Source organism: Homo sapiens, chromosome X, assembly GCF_000001405.40.
Source record: "Homo sapiens chromosome X, GRCh38.p14 Primary Assembly".
Taxonomy (NCBI): Eukaryota; Metazoa; Chordata; class Mammalia; order Primates; family Hominidae; genus Homo; species Homo sapiens.
The window spans coordinates 120268911-120280976 of NC_000023.11; the positions used below are offsets into that span (position 1 = coordinate 120268911).

A 12066-nucleotide genomic window follows, 5' to 3' on the forward strand; every position below is an offset into this window, starting at 1 on the left:
AAGGCCGAACCAGCTAGTGTTCTTGCTGTGACAGAGTGTGTTCAATCACAAAGAATTTGTAAAAGTTGTAAGGATTCTTAGAGATCCCAACCTTGCTAAGGGGGTCTCCTGAAGACATGAAGGGTATTGATTTCTCATCAGCCCTGTAGAGTAGAGGCAAAATCCTAGCAGTGCACAGAAGCCATGAAAGACCAAGAAAAATATATTGATCCCCCCACCTTTTTTTTTTTTGCAAATAAAACGATGCAGACATAATTTTATATCCTTTTCACAACATGGTGGTGTGTGTAGCCCTTCAAGGGTTAAAGCTAACCTTGTCCAGAATGGAGGCCCTGCTCTCATCAGAGCCAAAGCACTGCTAAAGGAAGTTACCACTACTCATTAGTTCCCAAGTAGGACTGTGCTTTGTGCCACATGGATCAAGGTGTGGGGTAAATGATTTTTCCATCTTCTATGTCATTGATACCTCCCCCATTCATGTGTATAATTGAGAGCTGTCTGAAAAATCAATGTGTCTTCCTTTTGGAACATAGCTACAGCACATTAACAGAGAAGCAGAAGCTTCCTCTCAAGTGATGAAAATGTGTAGGCAGGCTTTGGCAGTCACAAAGGCAACCATGTTAGGGTGTTGGCAGGGGGAAACTCCCTTCCAGCAAGTTTCAACACAGTTCTGTTGCTCTCTTCCTTGGAGTGGGTTACTGTTTACATCTCTAGGAGGTTTGAAGAGCTACAAACCTCAGTCATAATACAGCTCACAGACAGCCAGATAAATGTTTGTCAGCCTCTTTAATGTGTGAAAGAGGGCTGAGATCTTGACCATTCCAAGGGCTGGCTTGCTTTACATTTACTCAGAAATGCCCTTACCTCTCCCCCAGAATTCTTTAAAGAAATTCTGTCTCTGGGGAAGTACCAGAAATCATGTTCCCTTGGCATACTGTCAATTAAAAACACACCCTCCAGCTCTCGCAAAATGAAACCAGCTCTTCTATCTAAATAAATTAAGCCTAACTGTGGAGAAACAATCATACAATGTAAACTATATAAAAGTTTTTGTGTGTTCAGCAAGGCCAAGGGTCTAGACAATATTTGAAAGGAAGTTGACTATTTAGAGAAGGCAGCACAGAAGAAACATGAGAGTAAGATTAAATGGGTATAGGAAAGTCTCTGAAGAGAAGACAGTCAGGGGTAGAGGATATAGAGAAAATGGACAAGCCAGCAAGAGAAGGAAGAAGAGGAAATGGGGAATGGAGTGAAGACTTAGTCAGGGATGGGGCAAAAGAGATGGGCCAAAATAGTGGTCTGGTTATATTTTAAATCAATAAATCTGATTTTACAATAAATTTGGGCCCTGTTTCTATTTGTGTGCACGTATAGGAGTGTGTGTTTGTGTGTGTGTGTGTGTATGTGTATTTCTGTTAGAATTCTGGGGCTTACGTTGTGAGACGCCCGCCCTGCCCCCCCATTATTGATCAGTAGCATTCCGAGCTCCAGTAACACAAAAGGTTACTAGGTAGCACAGCAAATGGTGAAAGCAATCTTGCCTGGACAAAACTGAGTCTATTCTGAGACAATGATTGTGGACTTTGGAAAGAATGCTACTTTTTTTCCCTCTCCAGTTTACTCTAAACCAGCGATACCAATTAGGAGAAAATGGAAAGATATATTCACTTTTTAAAAATTCATCTCAAATCCTCATATCTTTGGTCAACAAGCACTTCTTCAAACATTTCTTTAAGATCTTTTTCACCAAGCACCTCTTGTCAGGGTTCCTTTCAGGATCCCACAACTTTGGAAATGGTGGTTCCTAGCTGATTCCATTGAAGACTGCCAGCTCACAGCCCTCGGCTCCTGTCCTCACTCTCTGCAAACGGCTTTCATCAGCCAGCACCCCCGGGCCTCCCTGCAGACCCCGGGGACTCTACTCAGGGAGAGGCACATCACAAGTCACCAACCACACTTGGATGTAGGCCAAGGATTGTACTTAGGCTCACCTGAATGATGTTCCTGGACTTTTTACACCATGGTCTTATTTTAATAGAGTGATCTAGGCAATGATTCCTCCTTGGTATCCTTATCTGTGCCCCCACTGGTTCTCTAATCTCATGAATCAAAGATCTTCTCCCCAGATCTTTGCTTTCATTTTTTTTCTGCCCTGGTCCTTGATAGAGTTCCCGGGATTCACATTTGATAATGCTCGGTACTTCCCTTGCTCTCCTTCCGTACTGTCAAAGAAGCTCCCAACAGGTGGAAACAACTTGCTTTTAATTTTTTAATTAAATCAACTAAACAAAGGAGGTAATATATGTTAAAACACTCATAGAACCAGAAAGGGCTACCCAAATGTTAGTCAGGGGCAGCTGGGATGAAATAGAAAGAGCAAAGGCTCTGGCATTTGGCAAATCTGGGCTCCAGTCCCAGTTCTGCTACTCAGCTCTGGGCAAGTCACTTGACCCCTCTTGGCCTGTTTCCTCACCTGTTAAACAGAGACAGTAATACCTACCTCACAAAGTAGTAATAGTGAAGATTAACTGTGCAAAAGCACTTTGCAGAGGGTTAGGGGCCATTATTGCCGCTATCAAGACAGACCATCAGCAAACCCATTTTTTCCTCAGGAGATCAAAGATAACAGTGAAATTAAGAACGCAGAAACAAATCTATATATCTGCAGTTAATTGATTTTTGACAAGGTTGCTAGGATCATAAAGTAGGGAAAGAGCAGTGTCTTCAACAGATGTGCTGGGAAAACTGGATATCCACATGAAAAAGAATGAAACTGAGCCCCTAACTTATACTAGATATAAAAATTAAATCAAAATGTTTCAAAGCCCTAAATGTAACAGCTAAAACTATAAAATTCTTAGGCAAAAATGTGGAAATCATGACCTTGAGCTTGGCAATAGATTCTTAGATATAACACTAAAAGCACAAGCAACAAAAGAAAAGATAGATAAATGACACTTCATCAAAATTAAAAACTTTTGTGCTTCAAAGGCCATTATCAAGAAAGTGAAAAGACAACTCACAGCATGGGAGGAAGTACTTGCAAATCACATATTTGATAATGCTCTAGTATCCGCTATTTATAAAGAACTCTTACAACTCAACAACAACAAAACAGATTTAAAAATGGGCAGGATTCTTGGTCAGTGGCCAGGTCTCAGCTATAGCAGGGGAGTGGAGGGTGTGGGATGCTGGGGGTGCCCAGCTCTGAAGCTCAGTGTGGGGCCCAAGACTGAGGCCCCCAGCCCTTACAGCTGCTCTGTGGGGAGCCCTGTCTGCACCTAGGGCCCTGAGCATTTGCTTAGTCACCTGGCTTGTTGAGGCAGGGGGTCCCCAGGCCGGAATCCATGGAGGGCTCTGGGCACCTCTCTCAGTACTGAGGGTGCCTCTGGGGAGCATGAGGACCCTGCAGCCCAGGCCTTGTCCTTAGGGTATGGGAAACTGAAGGTCCCATTGACTGAGGTTGGCTTTTACGCACTTGATGCACTGATACGGTTTGGATTTGTGTCCCCACCCAAGTCTCCTCTTGAACTGTAATCCCTGTAATCCCCAGGTGTTGAGGGAGAGACCTGGTGGGAGGTGATTGAATCGTGGGGGTGGTTCCTCCATGCTGCTGTTCTGATGATAGTGAATGAGTTCTCACGAGATCTGATGCTTTTATAAGGGGCTCTTCCCCCTTTGCTTCCTTCACATGCACTCTCACCTGTTGCCATGTAAGATGTGCCTGCTTCTCCTTCTGCCATGATTGTAAGTTTCCTGAGGCCTTCTCAGTCATGCAGAGCTGAGTCAATTAAACCTCTCTTCTTTATAAATTACCCAGTCTTGGGCTATTTTTTTTTTTTTTTTTTTGAGACGCAGTCTCACTCTATTGCCCAGGCTGGAGTGCAATGGCACGATCTCGGCTCACTGCAACCTCCACCTCCCAGGTTCAAGTGATTCTCCTGCCTCAGCCTCCCGAGTAGCTGGGATTACAGGCATGCACCACCATGCCCGGCTAATTTTTGTATTTTTAGTAGAGACAGCGTTTCACCATGTTGGCCAGGCTAGTTTCAAACTCCTGACCTCGTGATCTGCCCACCTCGGCCTCCTAAAGGGCTGGGATTACAGGTGTGAGCCACTGCACCCGGCCGGGCAGTTCTTTATAGCAGTGTGAGAATGGACTAATACATGCACTTTACCTGGGTTATCACATCAGCCCTCACAAGTCCACAGGTAGGTGCTACTAGTGCTGTTGTTTACAGGCTGCAGAAAATTTCAACGCTACTTTTGAAGATCAACATTAGGTAAACAAATTTGCAAGGAATATGAGTAGAATCACAGAGCTGAAGGAAGAAACAGAAGTTAAAAGGAAACAACTCCACAATTTAGAAGTTGTTTGCAATGACATCATGCTTGCAGATGATGACTGCTTAATGATACCTTATCAAATTGGTGATGTTTTCATTAGCCATTCTCAAGATGAAACACAAGAAATGTTAGAAGAAGCAAAGAAAAATTGGTAAGAAGAAACTGATGCCTTAGAATCCAGAGTGGTATCAATTCAGTGAGTGTTAGTAGATTTGAAACTTCAGTTATATACAAAATTTGGGGGTAACATAAACCTTAAAGCTAATGAAAATTAAACATTTTATAATACTTTAAAATTTTGTTTAACAATCTTGAATATTGTTTGGAAAATAAAAAAATCTGCAAAAACTTGATAGATATTTCTCCAAAGAAGATATACATACAAATTGCACACAAACATATAAAAAGATGCCCAACATCACTGGTCAGCAGGGAAGTACAAATCAAAACCACAACAAGATACCACTTTGTGCCCACTAGAATGTTTATAATTTTTTTTGAGAAAGTGTTGGTGAGGATGTGGAGAAATTGGAACCCTCACACACTGCAGGTAGGAACGTAAAATGACACAGCTGCTGTGGAAAACAGTTTGGCAGCTCCTCAAAAAGTTAAACATAGAATTACCAAATGACCCAGCAATTCCACCCATAGGTGGAAAAAGAATTGGAAGCAGGTAATCAAACAAGTACTTGTAAGTGATTGTTCATGAAGGCACTATTCTCAGTAGCTAAAACATGAAAACAACCCAAATGTATATCAATGGATAAAAAACTAAACAAAACGTGGTCTATCCATACAATGGAATATTATTCAGCCATAAAAAGAAATGAAGCACTGATATATGCTACAAGGTAGATGAATTTTAAAAACAAAAAAAATATGATAAGTGAAAGGAGCCAGACCCAGAAGTTCGAATATTGCATGATTCCATTTATAGAAAATACCTGTAATAGGTAAATCCATAGGGACAGACAGCAGATTAGGGGTTGCTGGGGCCTCAGGGAAGGGGCAACAAGGAGTGATTGTTTAATGGGTACAGGTTTCAGGTAATGAAAAAGTTCTAGAACTAGACAGAAATGATGATTGCACAACATTGTGAGTGTACTAAATGCCACTGAATTGTACACTTTGAAGTGATCAATTTTATGTTTGTGACTTCCACCTCAATTTTTTTTAAAGGGGGACAGTGAGGGAAAACGGGACTAAAGCTAAGGCTAAAAGCTTGGCAGGGTTGTGTTCCTTAGCATATCATCTTCCTATTCCTCCCTTCTTTCCAACTTCCAGAAATTTCTTGAAAGTGTCCATCTAGCCACTCTCCCTGTCTTCCTCAGATGCCCTTTGCCTTCAAAATCCAATTCTTTCCATCACCATGGAAAAGGGTCTTATCAAATCCTTCACACTGAGAGACTAGTAACTCAAAGTATAAACACCTCTGTGGCCTACTAGCCTATTCCTTTGTTTAATACACGCATCTTGAAAGTGGACAAGGAGAAAAAGGACAATGCTTATCTTAAAGTAAGGAATAAAACATGGTGGCAGTTTCAGCGCCCACAGTAGGGTAAAATTGGAGAGGGGGAAGCCTTACAGGCACCCCACAGAGCCTACCAAGTAGCTACCACCTACTCCATTTGTGCATCAAGGTATCTCTGCCATCCAAGCCTGAAAGCTCTAGGGACAATTTAGAGAACTCTTAACACTCATCCTGAGGTCCCATCTCCTCAACTCGCCAAACCTGGGAGCTTCTCTTCCAGCCAAAGCTGCTGAGATTCCACACAATACCTGTACTTTCATCTGCCCCCTGGGGAAATTCTCCAAGAACAAAGGGCATTCTTTTCTCCAAAGAAGCCCCAACCCAGAAACAGCTTTTTTTGCAGCTCTCTAACCTAAAAGCTTCCTCAAGGCCAAATTTACAGGAAATCCTTTTCCCTCCTGGGGCTCCACCTTTGTTGATGCTTCCCCTACTTGTTAGTGCTTGGGCATTCCAGAGTCTGGGGAGGGAAGCTGGGAAGAGAAATGTGCGGATGAGAGAGGGAGAGAAAGAAGAAAGAGAGAGTGCAGATGGGCAGGAAAGGATTTCTCTTGACTTAGAGTCACTAGCAGGAACACTTAATAGTTCCAGTCAGCCCAGTACTGCTGGAGACTTGCAATCCAAAACGACAGAGTTTCTTTCTTTTCCCTTGTCCTACCCCACCTTTCACTTTCCAACATTCATCCTTTTGACCGTCCAGGATCAAATTACAAACTGCCTTTCAGGTTCTGTTCTTCAGGGACCCCAAAATCTGACAGAAACAGCCAAGGGCCTAGGAGCTAATTTCTGGGGTCAAAGGAAAGTCCCTCTTAGGCACAAAATAATTCCATAAACAGATGTGGGATGTTCATTTAAAGCAGTGGTATTCAATCATGGCTGCAGATCAGAATTACCTGGGAGCTTAAAAAAAAAAAACCAAAAAACCAAAAAACAAAACCTGATGCCTGGGCTTCAGTTTAGACCAATTAAATCAGAATCTTTAGAGAAGGAGCCCAAGCATTTTTTTTTTTTTTTTTTTTTTTTTAGAGACAGGGTCTTACTCTGTCACCCAGGCTGGAGTGCAGTGGTGCAATCATGGCTTACTGCAACCTCAACCTCCTGGGCTCAAGTGATCCTCCCACTTCAGCCTCCCAAGTAGCTGGGACTACAGATATGTGCCACTACACCCAGCTAATTAAAAAAAGTTGTTTTTTCTTAATAGAGACAGGGGCTGTTGCTCAGCCTAGTCTCAAACCCCTGGGCTTAGTCAATCCTCCTGTCTTGGCCTCCCAAAGGGCTGAGATTACAAGCATGAGCCACCATGCTGGGCAGGTGATTCTTATATGAAGCCAGGTTGATAACCATAACTCAAAGCTATTATCTCCATAATTAGAGATCTAGATTTATCAAATAAACAAATAAATGCTTAGAAATGCCTTAGAAGGAAAGGAAAAAAAGAAGCCTACTATATGGAGTACCTACTGAATGCTGAGTCCTGCTGTGCCTTTGCAGACACACACACACAAATAGAAAAGATTTGGAAGGGAAGAATGGAAAGTGGGGAGGCTGAGGTTGAGGTCCAAGTTGAAGGCAAGACCTGGCAAGCAACTTAGCCTAGAGCTGGCTCTGCGAATGCAAACAGAAAAGAGCCCAGATGCTCTTTCTGAAGAAACTTCACTATGAAATACCTGGGGAGGGGAAGACTAGCATTAATCCTACCTATAGCTAGAATAACCTTTCCTTCCATCTCTCCCAAAGTTTGTTAGGGGAAAACTATTCCCAAAAAATTTTACTAAAAGTGTGGGGTGGGGCTATAAAAGACTATGTTTACATAACCAGTGCGAATGGGGGAACTGAGAACACCCCTTCCTCCTTTCACCCCCCACCCCTAGAAGGTGCCTCCAGAACACAGGTAATTTGTGTATAACAAGAAATATTTGCAGACTGATGACATTACCTGGCTCCTTCAACTTGAGACATTTGAAGGCAGCTACATCCTTGAAGCAATTGCTTCTGATTCTTCCCTTCAAAATATGTGTCTGCATTTCCCCCAACTGCCTAGCCTTCCCCCTATGTCCAACAGGGGCCACTGTGAAATGCAAAGTCAATTCTTTCCTTACCATGTCCTTAAAGCCTCCAAGGACAGCGGCAGTGATGATGCCCAGGAACAGGCCAACAATGTTGAGGATGGTGGCAGACCAGAGCAGGTGGTAGAGGTGGATGATATCTTGGCAACTGCTGACATCGATGTATTCGTAGTACCCACCAGTGATCTCCACCCGGCTGGACAGGGAGGAGCATGCTCCAGTCAGTCCCCAGGGAGCAGGCTGTCCTCCCCAGCCCCCTCCCCAACTCTGGGATTGGGCTACCATACAGCTCAGTGAAAAGACAGGTGGGCAGGTGGGGAGCTACAGTAAGAGACATCATAGCCATGTACTATAATAAATCAAAGTGTGATTGTTTATCCCCACTCCCCGAAAAAAAACTCCTACCTGCCAGAAAAATACTTGTAACCACCACTAACACTAATCCTAGATAGCACTTATTGACACTTGCTATGTACCAGGCACAGTGCTAAGCATTTCACATGTGTGAATTCATTGCATCTGTGCTGTTTAATGTGGTAGCTACTAGCCACATGTGGCTATTTAAATTTAAATTAAGTAAAATTAAGTAAAAAGAAAAATTCAGTTGGTAAGTCTCACCAGCCACATTTCAAGTGCTCAATAGTCACATGTGGCTAGTGTTTACTATACTGGACAGAGCAGGTTACAGAACATTTCCATCATTGCAGAAAGTTCTGCAAATCCTCACAGTATCCTATCAAATAGGGACTATCACCATGCACATTTTACAGATGAAGAAAGTGAAGCACAGAGAAGTTAAAGAACTTGCCCAAGTCGTAAGTGGTAGAACTGGGACCTGAATTCAGGCTTCAAAGACTTCAGTGTGTGCCCTCTCAAAACAAAACAAACAAAAAAACAAACAAATAAAAACCAATGTCCTGGTAAACAACTAAAGCTGAGTTGCTACACAAAACCTGAAAGTCGCCTCCGTGGGGAGGCCTTTCTTGACCACTCTGTCCAAAGACACCCCTTCCCAGCCCTGTCGCTCTCTATCACATTATCCGCTATGGAATGAATTTTGTCCCTCCAAATTCATGTGTTAAAGCCCTATCCCCCAATGTGACTGTATTTTTAGATAGGGCTTTTAGAAGATAATTAAAGTTAAATGAGGCCACAAGGGTGGGGTCCTAATCGGATAGGATTGGTGGCTTTATAAGAAAAGGAAGATCTCGCTCTCCTCCTCCTCCTCCTCTTTTTCCCTCCTTCTCCCCTGACTTCCCTACTCCACGCCCCTCCCCCACCCACCCCCGACCCCGACTTTCGTTCTCTCCCTCCCTACTTGAATGTGAAAGGAAAGGTCACTGTGAGCACAGAGGGGAAGTGGCACAAGCCAGGTAGAGAGCCCTCACCAGAGCTCGACCATGTTGGCACCCTGATCTTAGACTTCCAGCCTCCAGAAATGAGAGAAATAAGTACATTTCTATTGTTTAAGCCACCTGGTCTATGGTATCGTGTTATGGCAGCCCGAGCTAAGCAATACATCACCCTTTTCTAATTTCTCTGTAGCATTCATTCCCATATGAAAATAACTTACTGATGTGTCTACTACGTTATTGTCTGCCTCCCCAACTTGAACGTGAGCTCCATGAGGGCAGGAACTGGTTCATTTTGCTCACTGCTGTGCTTGACACACAGTTGGTGCTACATAAATACCTGTGGAATTAATTAAATGAAAGTTCCTGTCCTCCTGGATGTCACAAACTAGTTTACAACTTGGCCACTGGAGTTCATCACGAATCTAAAACACTTAAAGTCACAACGAAACGCCCTGGCATTAGGATGATTATTACATGTGACTCCCCTGCTATAAGAATGCAAAAAAGAAAACAGAAAAACAATCAAAGGCTGATCTCCAAAATGAATCAGAGAGGGACTATTCACATATGAAAAGACTTAAACTTTACAGATGAATTTATCTTCAGATTCTTTAAAGTCAGTGTTTCTCTAAGGAGGTGAAGTCAGTGTGGTTACAGGGCAGACTGCATCAGAATCATCTGTGTTTGTGTCTATGTGTGCCTGCCTGTTTGTATCAGTGCATTATTTGTGTGTGCCTGTGGGTGTCTCTGCGTGTATCTGTGCATGTATCTTTGAGAAAGAGAGATGGTTAAACATGCAGATTCCTAGGCCCAGCCCCAGTCCTACTGAATCTGGTAGAATCTCTGGTGATGGGGTCAAGAATCTGTGTTAACAAGTTCATCAATGTTTGAGACCCACTGTTTTTAATAGTAAGCTTCCGTAGTGGAATTTTTTAAAAAAATATTTTTTGTAGAGACAGAGTCTTACTATATTGGCCAGGCTGGTCTTGAACTCCTGGCATCAAGAGATACTCCCACATCAGCCTCCCAAAGTGCTGGGATTCCAGGTGTGAGCCACCACACTTGGCCCATAGTGGAATTTTAAGGGAGTTTCAATTAATCAGAGTTTGAATTGGATTTCAGTATTTTCAGGAGCATATCTCAAGAGCCCATGCATAAGCATACATTGTCTCCTATTAGCTGGCATTGTACTAGGCCCTGGGGACAGGGCAGGGAGGATGCACAGATTATTTACTGCCCCCAAAAACGGACAGCTGTACAAGGACTATTCTCTGAAAAGGACAGACCTGTGTGTATGGGTGAGTGTGGAACTGCAGGAGCACCTTTGTAGCTTGGGAGTCAACTTCTGACATCCCCCAAATTATGTTTGCCTGCCTCCTAAAACACCAAGGGTGGACTAGTAGTATATATAGGCAGGCAGTATGCCATAGCTGACTCTGAAGTCAGACTGTGTTCGAATCCTGGCTCTGTCATCTATGCTCTGTCACCAGATGCTGACTCTAGCAACTTACTTTCTTACTCTTAGGTTACTTACTTTACTTAACTTCTCTGAGCCCGGGGGATGTAATGCCAACAGGCATGAAAGCAGTACTCCAACATATAATAAAAGCCTCCACTAAAATATGTAGCTACATTTTGTTCCTTCTAAGAGCCAGCCTCTGGCAACACAATTCAAACCTTTGAACCCTGTTCTTAAAGGTATTAACACTTTATTTTGTTTTTTGTTTGTTTGGTTGGTTGGGTTTTTTCTTTTTCTTTTTTTTTCCTTCCTTCTTTTCTTTCCTTTTCTTTCTTTTTTTTTTTTTTTTTTTTTTTTGATGGGGTCTTGCTCTGTCACCCAGGCTGGAGTGCAGTGGTATGGTCATGGCTCACTGCAGCCTCAACCTCCTTGACTCAAGTGATCCTCCAACCTCAGCCTCCCAAGTAACTGGGACTGCAGGCTCACACTGCCATGCCCAGCTAAATTTTGTAGAGATGCGGTTCTGACATGTTGCCCAGGCTGGCCTCGAACTCCTAGGCTCAATCTATCCTCCCATTTCAGGCTCCCAAAGTCCTGGGATTACAGCCATGAGCCACTGTCCCTGGCCAGTATTAAGACTTTGTAGGCACAAACCGCAATATGGGAATAGGATAGTAGTTTGTTTTAAAATATTCAATAATTTTAGATAATATATACTTGGTTTCAGTTTGAGTGGTTCCAGCAGCCATTTAATTTTTTTTTTTCACTGAACCATGAAGGAAAAGAAAGCTAATTCTTAGATATGGTTCGGGTTTAGCAAATTAATGTGGTTTTTTTCTGCTTGAGATTCAGGATTCCATTTGGTTCAGTCTCTGGGCAGAGCTTCCTCTGAAATTGCACCTTTTGCATTCCCACTGCTCCCATCCTCATGCCTCCATCACTGTAAGGCTGTCCTGCCAGACCCCACTGCTGCCTGATTACTCTTCCTAAAACACTTTTAAAAATATGTCATTCACTTAATCAAAACCCTTCTGTGGCTCCCCAGTACCTTCAGGGGAGTGTTCAAATTCCTCAGTCTGCCAAAGTCCAGCCTCAAAATGGAGTATACACTCCAGCCAGGCTGGAGTCCACAGAAGCCCCACACTGGCTATGCTGGGTACTAATTCCAAACCTTTGCTCAGATTTCTCCCCCTGCATTGAAGGTATTGCTTTCTGTTCTCTGCCTATCCTAATCTCTCTCACTGCTCAAAGCTTCAATAGTGCCTTCTTCAAAGACGCCACTACCCATTCATTAGCTTTTTCCTTGGACTC

At 43.1% G+C, this 12066-nt stretch overlaps 1 protein-coding gene and 1 pseudogene across 6 annotated transcripts in view, besides 1 other annotated feature; one reads left to right on the forward strand and one right to left on the reverse strand.

Annotated features, from left to right (window-relative positions):
• The window catches only part of TMEM255A (transmembrane protein 255A), a 60029-nt gene that overhangs the window by 17478 nt on the left and 30485 nt on the right, over positions 1 to 12066 (reverse strand). For 3 of the 6 annotated variants that reach the window (XM_017029619.3, NM_001104544.3, NM_017938.4), the window contains one exon: positions 7975 to 8137. The exons of the other annotated variants lie outside the window; for them this stretch is intronic. In XM_017029619.3, coding sequence (XP_016885108.1) covers positions 7975 to 8137 — 163 coding nt within the window. The remainder of the gene's footprint in view (positions 1 to 7974; positions 8138 to 12066) is intronic. 6 annotated transcript variants of the gene reach the window in all.
• Positions 1131 to 4622, forward strand: PFDN4P3 (PFDN4 pseudogene 3; annotated as a pseudogene).
• Positions 5870 to 6547: an enhancer, noted in NCBI's record as "NANOG hESC enhancer chrX:119408635-119409312 (GRCh37/hg19 assembly coordinates)". NCBI's record gives its function as "activates a minimal SCP1, AML or CMV promoter by ChIP-STARR-seq in primed H9 embryonic stem cells {active_cell/tissue: H9 hESC(primed)}" and the evidence as "EXISTENCE:reporter gene assay evidence [ECO:0000049][PMID:30033119]".